The sequence below is a fragment of the Homo sapiens genome, chromosome 15, assembly GCF_000001405.40.
Source record: "Homo sapiens chromosome 15, GRCh38.p14 Primary Assembly".
In the NCBI taxonomy this organism is placed as follows: Eukaryota; Metazoa; Chordata; class Mammalia; order Primates; family Hominidae; genus Homo; species Homo sapiens.
In genome coordinates this window covers 91,193,069-91,206,452 of record NC_000015.10, presented here as the reverse complement: position 1 = coordinate 91,206,452, position 13,384 = coordinate 91,193,069, and the positions used below count along the sequence as shown (strand labels likewise).

General features: G+C 44.4%; 1 protein-coding gene across 14 annotated transcripts in view; it reads right to left on the bottom strand.

Moving 5' to 3' along the window:
• SV2B (synaptic vesicle glycoprotein 2B) overlaps positions 1–13,384 on the bottom strand; it is a 202,978-nt gene that overhangs the window by 96,113 nt on the left and 93,481 nt on the right. The window contains exon 1 of one of the 14 annotated variants that reach the window (XM_017022762.2): positions 810–1,060. The exons of 12 other annotated variants lie outside the window; for them this stretch is intronic. The gene's annotated coding sequence lies outside the window, so the exon portion shown is untranslated. Of the gene's footprint in view, positions 1–809; positions 1,061–13,384 lie in introns of those variants that run through there. One more of the 14 variants, XM_017022761.2, reaches the window with a different exon arrangement.

Below are 13,384 nucleotides of genomic sequence, written 5' to 3'. Positions count from 1 at the left end.
GCCCCATGTGGATGAGCACATCACCCATGTATGACAATGCCATACACATGGCTGTATACATGGAGAACCTGCTGGAAGGGGGAGCTTCCTTAACTAAATACAGTAGTCATCGGCTGGGCACGGTGGCTCACGCCTGTAATCCCAGCACTTTGGGAGGCCAAGGCAGGTGGATCACTTGAGCCCAGGAGTTCAAGAACAGCCTGGGCTACACAAAGAGAACCTGTATCTGAAAAAAAAAAAAAAAAAAAAAAGCCAGGCATGGTGGCATGTGCCTGTAGTCCCAGCTACTCAGAAGGGTGAGGCAGGAGGATTGCTTGAGCCCAGGATTTCAAGGCAGCAGTGAGCTAGGATTGCACCACTGTACTCCAGCCAGGGCAACAGAGGAAGACCCTGTCTCAAAAACAAACAACCACCCACAACCACCACCACCACAACAACAAAAACAGTAGTTGTTTCTGGTGTAAAAAGATATTAAAATTTCAGGACCTCCCATATGTATCATGCCAAGGGGAAAAGTTAAGCCCTGGAAACTGACTCACCTAACACAGCTGTTTTTCTCCTCCAGTGCGTGACTGCTGCTTTCTGACCTTTGGGTTGAGATTTTATACATTAACTGAACTCTCTATTCTTTATTCAAACCTAGACTAAATGATATTGGAGATAGACACCCTTCTGATTTTTGACTCTTTGCAATAAAATGTTAAGCAATCCCTTTAGAGTATAACCAATAGTAGCCAATCAAATCTTACATCTACATTAGACTTTGTATGAAAATGTTGTTATCCTGGGCAGGGCGTGGTGGCTCACACCTGTAATCCAAGCACTTTGGGAGGCCGAGGTGGGTGGATCACTTGATATCAAGAGTTCGAGACCAGTCTGGCCAACATGATGAAACCCCATCTCTACTAAAAATACAAATATTAGCCGGGCATGGTGGTGCACACCTGTAATCCCAGCTACTCAGGTGGCTGAGGCAGGAAAATCACTTGAACTCAGGAGGCAGAGGCTGCAGTGTACCGAGATCACCACTGTACTCCAGCCTGGGCAACAGAGTGAGACCCTGTGTTTAAAAAAAAAAAAAAGAAATGTTATCCTATTCAGCACCTCCATTTTTGCCTAGATAAATGGTCCTCATTTTTCCCCACACTGGGAGCACTGATCACCATTCTTTGGTGTAGCTCTGCTTCCCTGATGTCGGCCCTCACACTTCACGCTTGAATAAACTCTTTTAACTGGATCCTGAGCTTTTTGGTTATTTTAGGTTGACACTAGAGAAAGGAATCACGTGCATTTTACCAAGTCAACAAAGCTTTCTAGAAGAAAATGAGACAAAAGAGGAAAAACAGCAGCAGAAATAAGGATGGATAAACTTCTTTCTAAATAACAGTGAGTCTGTAATCTTTTAACACATGCTTATTTCAGAAAACAAAAACAGCAGCTCAGGCTTCAGCATCAGATCAACCTGGATTTGAATGCAAGCAAAGACCTCATGCAAGTTAGGTCTTTCAACCTGTTTTCTACGCTCTCTCAGTCTCAGTTTTCCCATCTGTAAAAATTAGCTCACAAGGTGGTGGTAAGAAATAGAAGAAAGTACGTGGGCCAGGTGCATTGGCTCACACCTGTAATCCCAGCACTTTGGGAGGCGAGGTGAGCGGATTACTTGGCCCAGGAGGTTGAGACCAGTCTGGACAACATAGCAAGACTTCATCTCTACAAAAAATTTAAAAATTAGCCGGGCATGGTGACTCATGTCTGTAGTCTCAGCTACTCAGGAGGCTGAGGTGGGAGGATCACTTGAGCCCAGGAGGTTCAAGGCTACAGTGAGCTGTGACCGAGCCACTATGCTCTAGTATAGACAACAGAATGAGATTCTGTCTCAAAAAAAAAAAAAAAAAAGAAGAAGAAGAAGAAAAGAAATAAGTGGCCAGATAAGCACTGGTGGATGTGTGTAAATCTCAAAAAAAAACTACCTACTATTATCAACTCTCAACTCATTACAAATGTGGGTTAAATTTTATTCTAAACAAAGAAATAAAGGCATCATCTTCATGTGCTATCTAGTAGAAGTTCCTACACTGCCTATTACAGTAGCACTAGCCGCAGTTGGCTATTGACAACTTGAAATGTGACTAGTGCAACCAAGGAACTGAGTTAAATTTTAATTAATTTGGATTTGTAAAATAAAACTGTAAATTAAGACCCCAAGCTCTCCAGACCAGATAGACTCCCTGTGGCTAACAGAGATGCTCTAAATTTAAAAGCGAACCGGGTGGACATAGCAGGGTCAGAGGGAGCAGTCCCGCACGCCCTACCAGAGCCAGGGTAAACTGCAGTTGGAAGCCTCCCATCCCCAGCCCACTAGCAGTTTGAAAGAAATATCTGACAGAGACTTCTCTTTTGGGGCCTGGAAACCACCCAACCAGGGCTCAATTATTTCGACTGATCAGAACTGAACAAGTTTGAATCCTTCATTTGCATAAATGGACCTGATTGAGAACCTAGGCAAGAAGGTTTCCTATTTAAGCCAGATTTTCTCCCTTTGGTCTTCTGAAAGCACTTTAACTTGTACTAAAGGCTGTGCAGAGAGAGAGAGGGAGAGAGGGGGAGAGGGGAGGAGAGAGAGAGAGACAGTAGCTCTCCCTTCCTCCACAGATCTCATGGTCTTTTGTTTACAGATTTAACACGCAGGAACTTGACAAAAGTCCCCCGTTTGTTAGGACAGACCTCACACTGGACTCCAGGTCTCCATATTCCAGAGCTTTTTCTACTGTACCCTCCATTCTTCTCAAAGAAAATGCCCAGATGAAGGAATCCAGATTATTTTTATTTTCACTCGAAGCAGATGAAACCCAAGCTAAACCGTAACAAGATTGCCACATTTAGAAAACTTTAAAATAGAAACTTAATAGTGTTTGAATAAAGATATAAAGGCATTTCATCACAAAGGCTTAAGCTGTTAACTTTTACAGTTATTTGCATTTAAATAGAACATTCTTGATGCTTTTTAAAATGCTTCAATACATAACAGGATTCTAATGGTAGGATTCCAGGTGGAGAGGGAATCCCTGCCTTTTCATTTCAACGGTACCAGGCTCATGCCTGCTGACCTCGACTGTTCCAAAGGCTTGCCCCATTTGGTTCTGAATCACCTTGACCACAGGGGATGGCATAGAACCTGTGGACACCTCAGGGGTGACTATGCAGTTGGACAGCCAGGCCAGGCCCCTACCTGGGGAAGTCCTCAAGGAGAAAGGCTTGTAGCTCAAGTCCAATCCTAAATCTTTACAGGAAAGCAAAGACTCTCAAAGGATGGCATTTGTTCTGTATTCAATGGGCACTAGACTCACTAGAGGTTCTTAGGCAGGCACCTAACTGCTGGATTAAATAATGCAGTAATAAGACTGTCATCCTAAGCATTTACAAAAAGTTTACTCTGGTGGCTACTGTGATATCTACCCAGCCCCACAAACACACCCTTAGGGCTGGAGCCCTCACTCCCCAGCTGCTGGGAGTGTGAGTGGTAGTCAGTCCTTCCTAGGGATTGCCTGAGAGTAAAGAGAGGGTTTGCCTTACCCAAGATCACACCTCTTCCCAGAGCAGCCTGAAGCCAATGACTAATTACTGTGGGGATAAAAAGGCCAGGCCCATTGACCCAACTCAGGCCAACTCTACAACCTTTCCAGCTTCAGCACTCCCTGGAGTGTTGAGACTGTAGCCCCACTTCTCTCTCTGGCCAGTCCTGTTTCTTTCATCACCACCCCACCCCCACACACAGGTGTTGATCCCCAGAGCATTAATCCAGTGTGCTAATCTCCCTCTGCTTCCCAGGGAACCCAGGTAGCACAGGTACCATGTGCCAGCCACTGTTCTCAGCTTTTTATAGGTATTTACTCTTAGAGGTAAGTATTATTATCTTCATTTTACAGATAAAGAAACTGAGGCTAAACAGAGATCAATCATTTTTCCCAAGACACCCAGGTGGTCTTAGGAGATCTTGTGAAAATAAGAAGACACAATGTTGGTAAATAAACATAATAGTGACTAATACAGAGTGAGTATTCAACTCATTCATTAATGGTTTTCATTGATTCTTCAAATATTTACTGAGCACCTACTATGTGCTAAGCACTATTCTTAGCACTGCAGAAACAGTAGTGGACAAAGAACACAAAGTCCCTGACCTCATAGAGCTAACCTTCTAGTGGAGAGAGGGCAGGAAATATACAAATAAACAAGTAAATGCATATCTCATATGAGTGCTAGGCAGAAATTTAAGCAGGTTAGGGAAGACCAGAGGCGACGGGGGCAGGGATGGGGCTATTTTATGTGGGGAAGTGAGGAGAGATCTCATGATAGGTGACATTTGAGTAAAGAAGAGAAAGAAGCAGGGAGTGAGCCATGCAGATATTTGAAGAAAGACTACGTTGAGTAAAGGGGGCAAGCACAAAGTCAGAAACAGTGAAAGATACTGAACAGAGGTGGCATGCTCTGGCAAATCTTAAAAGGATCACCTGGCTGCTATGTTGAGAATAGATTTGATGGGGTTGGGGAGTGGGAGGCTAGGCACAAGGAAAGAGGCAGGGAGCCCAAATAGGAGTCTCTTGTTATAACCCAGGCCATACATGGCAGTGGCTTAGACCAAGATGGTTAGGGATGGGAGTGGTGGAAACTGTCAGATCTATGCTGCAGGTAGAGCTATCTGGATTTGCAGATGGATCCGATAAAAGATGTGATAGCAACAAAGGAAAAGTCAAGGGTGACTCCCAGATTTGGGGCCTGAGCAGTTGGAAGGATGGATTTGCCATGAACTGAGATGAAAAGGCCTGTGGGAAGAGCAGCTTTGGCTGAAGACAGGGTGGGATCAGGAGATAGGGAGTCATGGAAGTTAGCTATTACAGGCAACAGAGTTCAGGGAGAAATGGCACTGCACACGGCTTATGAAAAGAGATTCTACAGCCAGGCTACCCAGAGTTGAGTCTCAGCTCTGACGCTATTAACTATGTGACCTTGGGAAAGACACTGTACTTCTCTGGGCTTCATCATTCTCATCTGTGATGTAGGGAGAACATCTGTACTGACCTTATCAGGTCGTTATGAGGCTTAAATGAGTAAATACATGTAAAAGTATCTAGAACAGTGGCTCCCATGCAATCAGCACCATTTTAGTATTTTAAAATTCCAATGAGGTTCCCAACGGATGTAACACTTGAGGATTTGTACATAGTACAAAGAGGCACCCAAAAAGGGTGTGATTCACTGGACTGGACACTTGCTTCCCAGAGAAGACAAAACCCAAGCTTGAGTTTGAAAGGAGGGAGTCAGGTGGCCAAGGAAGTTGAGAGGGTGGGGGAACATTCAAGATAAAGGGAATAGCATGTCCATTTTACTGAAAGTATAGCCAATAATGCAGCAAAAGCCAAACATAAAATGGTTATCTTATGACACATGTATTAATCCTTTCAGATACTGTGAAATCCAGGATGTGTACAAAGAGATGGAGAATAGCTTTCAGTTTTGTTTTGTTTTCTTTTCTTTTTCTTTTTTCAGAGACAGGTTCTCCATCACCGAGGCTGGAGTGCAGAGGCACGATCATGGCTCACTGCAGTCTTGAACTCTTGGGCTCAAGCCTTCCTCCCACCTCAGGCTCCTGAGGAGCTGGAACTACAGGCATGCACCACCATGCCTGACTAATTTTTTTTAATTTTTGATAGAGATGAGGTCTCACTATGCTGCCCCGTCTGGTATCAAACTCCTGGACTCAAGCGGACCTCTTGTCTTGGCCTCCCAAAGTTGGAATTACAGCTGTGAGCCACCGTGCCAAGCCGGCTTTCAGTTTATTTATTCAAAATGAATAAACCCCAGTAGCACCATCTGACCTTCTCATGCACCTGTCTTCACTGAGTTGGGCCAGGTCTGCTACCACTGACCACAACCATGTAAGACCCATATTGACATACTGAGACTCTTTACAGCCACCACTCAGTAGCCCCAGTGGACACCCCTCTAGTTTCCTTTCTGATCCCCCAGGTAAATGCATTCAAAAAGTAATCAACAGGGATATGGCATTTGTCTCCCTTCTAATTATATTTGAACATGTTTCAAGGCCATATGGCCCGATCAATATCCCTAAACTCTCTGTACCTTACTGTTCCTAGCAATTTTGCTGGAGAAATAACATTTCAAAGGTCAAAAACCTCATTCTGGCAGAACAAACCTGCTTGATCTCAGTGAAATGGTCCACAAAGACCAAACTCAAAATTAAAGCATCAGATTCCCTCAGTGGAAACCTTACCTTTTGGTAAATTATCAAATATCAGAACAATAGGAATAGAAAAGGCTTGAATGCAATAGGAGAGGCTTGAATGTATGTGGGATCAAAACATTTCCTGGACCATTTAATGCACCTTAGCTATATAAATATGGAAAGTATTAAGCAGTGGTAACAGATAGTTCAGAAGAAAGCCAGGCCCTGAGCTGTAGGAGCTTGCCTCTCTGCGGGGCAGTCCATATGAAGACCCTCAGCCTGCAGGCCCAGCCTCACACAGCCCCCAGGCTGTGGGAAGTGCACTTAACTAGCCAGGTGGCCACGCTGCCCCAACAGCGGTATGTTTGCTGCCTCATCATCATCACACAGGCCTGAGATTAATAGCCTTCAGCCCAGAATAACCCTCCAAGTCCTCATCCCCGCTGTGTGCGTCCAAAAATTTCCATTAAGCCTCTGTTCCATTTCCTGGCTTCCCCACCCCACCTGGGCACTGAAACCTCAGTCTCCTGATGGTCCCTCTCAGCTCCTACTACCTGTGATTCTGCTTCAACGGCGACAGGCCTGGGAACAAATGCAAAGGAGCACCACTGCCCACAACTGGGATTCTCAAAGCATTTGCCCTGCCCCAAGATGCCCAAGGGCCTAACATCTGCCCAGAGGCGCTGTGTTTTAGCAAAGCGGCATTTAACAAACAGAAACCCACGACCCATTCTCTCCCACTCCAGGCAGGTGGCTCTCAGGGAGAAAGGAGACCTCGTGTTGTTTGCCACCTGTCCCCCCATTATCACCACCAAGATTCTGGTCCCCGGAGCACACTGGCCTGGAGGATTGTTACTCTATCTGTTAGACCTGGGTCTGCCCCCTTACACAAACCTCACTGCCGGTCACTCCCTAATTTCCATCCTTCCCCCAGAGAGTGACGGGTACAGTCAAAAGTCAAACAGTATGTTCCAAAAATTCTTCCCCTAAGACTTATTGAGGTTTACTCTCTATAGTTTACATGATTTTTTTAAGTGTTTATAGAGCTGGGCATTGTAGCACACACCTAGAATCCCATCTACTCAGGAGACTGTGGCAGGAGGATTGCTTGAGTCCAGGAGTTCAAGCCTAGGAGTTCCAGTACAGCCTGGGCAACATAAGGATACCCCATCTCTAAAAAATAAATGAGTAGACTTTTTAAGTTTTAAGTATTTATATTCAAAATAAATTTTATAATATTCGATAATACTGAATATGCTGTTTCGAATTTCAAATGTGCATGCAAAACCACACACAGGAGATTCTGCCAGTCCTAAAGAGGCATCTCCTAGAAGCCCAGAGTTGCTGTTGTTTACGGCCCTGCCCCCAGATCAGCTGCATGCATACAGCAACAGGACTCTGGGTCGAGGCCAAGTTCTCCACGTAGCTTTAACAATTATCATTAAGGTCTCCAGCCATTCTCCCTGGGCAAGAGCACCACAGCCAGATTATTGCTTTCTCCGTATCGTCTAGGGTTACCCCTCCCATTCCCCTTCTCATTTTTTGTGGCCTGGGCCCAGTTATCCAAAGCAGAAACCCTTTTACTCATTAAGGTAATATATTCTGCATCTCATTTAAATAAAATATGCTTTTAGGTTTCTGGTACAAACGTAATACTCCATTTTAACAAATGTGCTCATTTGCCTCCAGGAGACCTCCAAACACACACCTACACACACACACACACACACACACACACACACACACACACACATACACGTGCTTCTTGGCTGAAAACCAAAAGCTGTCACTGAGAAGAAAAAGCAATGAGAAAAATCCGTTCAGTGCCGAAGGTAATGGCTTTGTTTTAATAGGCCTTGGTGCCTTGATGAAAGCATTTTCTTTTAAAATGTTAGTATATTGAGAAATATTTCAAATACAGAAATTTGAAGAGAAAGTGATTGACATAATGAACCACCGTGAGCTCACTGCCCAGCTTTATCTAATCTTAACATTGGCTTCCTCGGCCTTTTGCTCTCAAAACAAAGGAAACACTACAGATAAAAATTGAAGCACCGGGGCAGACTTTTTCATCTGGCTCCTTTCTTTTCCTCACCAGAGATTCACCAGTTATATTTTCCTACATAGTAATGTGTTCATCAAATAGGTTTTGTGTATTTTTGTTTGTTTGTTTTGAGACGGACTCTCGCTCTGTTGCCCAGGCTGTAGTGTAATGGCACGATCTCGGTTCACTGTAACCTCCAGCCTCCCAGGTTCAAGAGATTCTCCTGCTTCAGCCTGCCAAGTAGCTGGGATTACACGGGTCCCCCACCATGCCTGGCTAATTTTTGTATTTTTTGTAGAGATGGGTTTTCACCATGTTGGCCAAGCTGATCTGGAACTCCTGACCTCAGGTGATCCACCCATCTCGGCCTCCCAAAGTGCTGGGATTACAGGCGTGGGCCACCGGGCCTGGCTGCATATTTTTTAAACTTTATATAGCAAGTATCCTTGCTTTTTAGCACAACATTATATTTTAGAGATTTTGCTGTAACATGTATGGAGTTGTAATTAATGTAGCTGAACTGCTATATAGTATTCCTAGGGATAACTCTCCTTACTTATCCATTCTTGTCTTTACAGTGATTTTGTTTTGTTTTGTTTGGTTTGGTTTGGTTTTTTTTTTCTTCTATTAAAAACAATGATGGCTGGGCGCGGTGGCTCACGCCTGTAATCCCAGCACTATGGGAGGCCGAGGCAGGTGGATGACCTGAAGTCGGGAGTTTGAGACCAGCCTGACCAACATGGAGAAACCCCATCTCTACAAAAAATATAAAAACAGGTGTGGTGGCGGACCCCTGTAATCCCAGCTACTCGGGAGGCTGAGGCAGGAGGATTGCTTGAACCCAGGAAGCAGAGGTTGCGGTGAGCTGAGATCATGCCATTGCACTCCAGCCTGGGCAACGAGAATGAAACTCTGTCTCAAAACAAAACAAAACAAAACAAAACAAAAAACAAAAAAAACACAAAAACAAAACAATGATCACAGCATTTCTTTTTGTTAATGGGTATTGATTCTCTGAGAAGTACGGTAATTTGATAAGGCCAGCCTCACATCTGAAACAGGGCAGACAGGTCTTTCTGACATCAAAGATCAGCATCTATGGGCTAAAGGCTGCCACAGCCGGCAGGCGGAGCAACAGAGGAGCAAAATCCCCGTGGCCCTGGAAGTGGGTATAAACTTCCCCCTGCAGCAGTGCTGTTTGTGAAGTGTCTGTCACAGGTCCCAGCATCTTGCTGGCACCATGTGAACAGCAGCCATCATGATTATCACCTGCCTGATCTCCCTGCTTGGCGAGAACCTCAGCCCTCCCCTTTAGGCTCACCTCACAGTGACACTTTTACTCATTAGCAGGCCCAAAGGGCTATCACTCATTTTACTGCAATTTCACCCCAACAAACCTATGTAGGCACATCCTGTTCAGCAAGCAAAAAATTTGCTTCACATATAAGTAGAGGATAATTCATAATTGTTGATTTTTCTTCCTTTCTGTCTTTGGGTGTTTATCCAGGGCATTATGTGCTGAATCCACCTGCCTTTAATCTTGCCTGAAGAATCAAGGTCGGATTTCCTAACATGGCGTCAAGGGCCCTTCCAACCAGCTCAGCCACTCTTTCCATCTTATATCCAGCCATATCCCACAACCGGCCTCCCAGTCTCTGCCTTCCCTTCATAGTGCTGGGCCCTGCATATCCAAGGGGTGTCCAATTAGCCTATAAAATCTAATTCAGATGTCACTTCCTCTCCAAGGCCTTGGCCAGGACCCATGTAGACATAATACATCACTCCTACATTTATGTTCCTGTCACCTTTTCCATGTAACTCTGCAATGCAGTAGCACTTAACAGCATCTTATTTTAATTGTGTAGACATGAGCCCCTCTCGCCCTCTAGACACAGAGAACCTTGTTGTTTTCATAAATTATTATATCCCCGTGCCTTGCCCTGAGCATAGTGGAGTGAATAAATGTTCCGCAAACACATCAAATGTGATTTTCTTCCATGACTAATTTCTAGCAAGAAGAAGAGGATTTCAGCATCTTGGCCTGTGTGAGCTATTGATTTATTTTTGAAAGAAGACTCTTTTAGCAGCCAATCTTTAATAAATTATTATAAACAAAGCCTAAAGCACTTAAACACTTTACCTTGTATGGACATTTTTCCTGCCTGCAGAATTTTTTTAAAGAAATAGACATATTTTGTTCTAGTTGCAGTAGAATAGAATTGCAGAACCTCAGCCTTTCCCTAGGTTCTCTCATCCTGATGCTGATGAAAAATGTACATAGATAGTAATAACAACACACTGATGGCAATTATGCCAGGCAAGCTTCATGTAGGACTTGCTATGTGTCAGGCTCTGTGCTATGTTAGCTGTACTTTTGCATATCTAACTGGCTCACCAACCTATAAGGTGGATACTACCACTATTTACATTTTGGCATTGAGGGAACTTAGAGGGTTTAAGTAATGTACCCAAAATCACACGCTGAGTAAATGGCTCAGCTGCTTAACCCTAGAGCCTGAACCTTCAGCCACTCATTAATTAGGTTACACCATGCTGCCATAATAGAAACCAAGCTTCATTTTCAAAGCAATTTCACAATGTGTTGCTTATTCCTCGCAACAACCCTAGGAAGTTGCATCAACCCAGGTAAAATGCTCATCTCCCCATTTTATAAGTTACGTAGCTATGGGTCAAATAATTTATGTAGCTAGGCACAGTGGCTCACAACTGTAATCCCAGCACTTTGGGAGGCTGAGGTGGGGTGATCACTTGAGGCCAGAAGTTCAAGACCAGTGTGGGCAACACAGTGATACCTTGTCTCTACAAACAGTTACAAAAAATTAGCTGGGCATGGTGGTGTGTGCCTGTGGTCCCACATAATCGGGAGGCTGAGGTGGGAGAATCGCTTGAGCCTGGGAGGTCAAGGCTGCAGTGAGCCAAGATTCCACCACTGCACCCCAGCCTGGGTAACAGAGGGGGACCCCATCTCAAAAAAAAACAATAGTTTACATGACATGCTCAGAGATCCATGGCTAGTAGTTACTGAATCAGCCAGGGCAGGCTAGGTTATGCTGTGGTAACAAGAAGCCCCTATGTCAGTGACTTAAAACAAGTAAGAGTTTGTTTCTCCTTTGGGCTATATATCCACTGTGGGCCTCCCAGGCCCTGCTCCATGCCTTCATCTTCATTCTGATCCTGAATATTGCCAGTCATCATGGCCGAGGAAATGAGGACGTGACAAACTATGTGCTGATTCTTAGACACAACCACATAGACACAGGCCGTTTCACATTCACTTCATTGGTCAACCCTAGCCACACTGCCACACTTGAATTCAGCCGGGGAAGAAGAATCCTCCATGATCCTTCCACAGAGGGGGACATCAAGTAGTACAGCCCACCACAAGGAGTAACAGCATCAGGACCTAAACCCAAAGATGCAACCTCCGTTGAAGTCAGTGAGTTGTCCCAGAGTAACGAATTTCTCTCCTTCATGCCTGCATCCCTGATGGGTTTCCTGAATGAATGAATCCTTGTCTAACGCATTCTCCACAGCCCCAAGGCACTTCATCTGAATTTATCAGAAATTCATTTCTACAATTTTCCAGAAAGTTTCAGAGAGAGGACGAGATAATCTAAACATACGTATATCTAAGACTCTGCAAATCCACTCCTGGGTATTCACTCAAGAGAAAAGAGTGCGTATGGCCACCAAAAGACATACACAAGAATGTTCACAGTAGCTTGATTCATCATTGCTCCAAACTGGAAGCAACCCAATTATGCCCAAAGGCATAATTCTAACATTATCTGAAAGGAAATAAAGCTCCTGAGGTCCAGAGGCATGAGCAGGCTGGCCCAAAGTCACACCTTTACAGGGCAGAGCCGAGGGAGAAGCTACATGTTATGCTATGCCCAATGCTCTACCCATCACCCCTCAAGTCACTGAGCCAGAGCTCCCTGCTTCTCTGCTTGTCCTACTCTTTCTGCTCAGCTGAAATACTGTCTTCTTCTCTCTAGGTCCCCTAGGACACTAATCACAGCTGCCCTTGACTGATCCCAGCTGATGCTGCATAAATTCAATTCCCTCCTCCCTGACCATCGAACCCATCATCCCAGTGCCCTGGCCAGGTTCCTATTAAAAACAAACAAACAAACAAACAAAAAAAACCTCTATACCCTGGTGATTACCTAGCAAACAGAAACAGGTTTGCAATTTCCACATTTGCCCTACAAAAAGAGGATAAAAACGTTGAGCCTTTATGGTTACAACTTAGATTTGGCATACCAAAACATGATGGAATATGTAGGAAAAAATAATATAAACTTTTTCTGGACTGCTGTCCCTGAGACAATAAACATATTTATATCATTTAAGTCCATTCCAGTGATCTCTTTTGTGCTTATTTTATAAGCACTTCACTTGAAAATTAGTCCTCATGTTAATATAAATGGACAGATATGAAAGCTGAGTGCTTTCTAGAATGAGAATATGAGACAACTTTGAGAAGATGAAAGCTGCTTTCAGAATGGCAGAATGTCCTTGTGCTTCTCTCACATACTTGGATGTCTTCAAAGGCCTTCAAATTTTTTAAAATGCATGGTGGGGGCCCACTCTGAGATCTGCCTCTCGATTAGGTCTGGCAAGTGAAGTCACCATCTGCTCTGCTCCAAGAAAGAGAAGGAAGCACAGACGGTCTGGATCACCCAAAGGGGGTTCCCTGGCTCTGATTTTGTTTTTGTTTTTGTTTTTTTTTAAATATCCAACTTGGGCAATGTCAGGGCAAAGCAAAGTTAACACTGCTTCACTGGAAGTAAGAGGCTGACCACACAGGCCAACGTCGGCCAACAGGTACATTTTTCAACAACTGTTGACGTACTACTATGTGCTGGAGCAACAGGCAGGTGTGGTAAACATCCCCTAAGCAGGCCGTCTCCTTCTCCTCCTGCGGCACTTGCAGGGGCTCCCTTACGTCTTGCTGCCATCTCAGGCTCACCTCTCCTGAATCCCTGACTCATTGACTTCCAAGAGCTGAACCGGGAACAATATTGAGCAAACAAAGATAGATGCCCAAGAGACAAATGCTGAACTGAGTC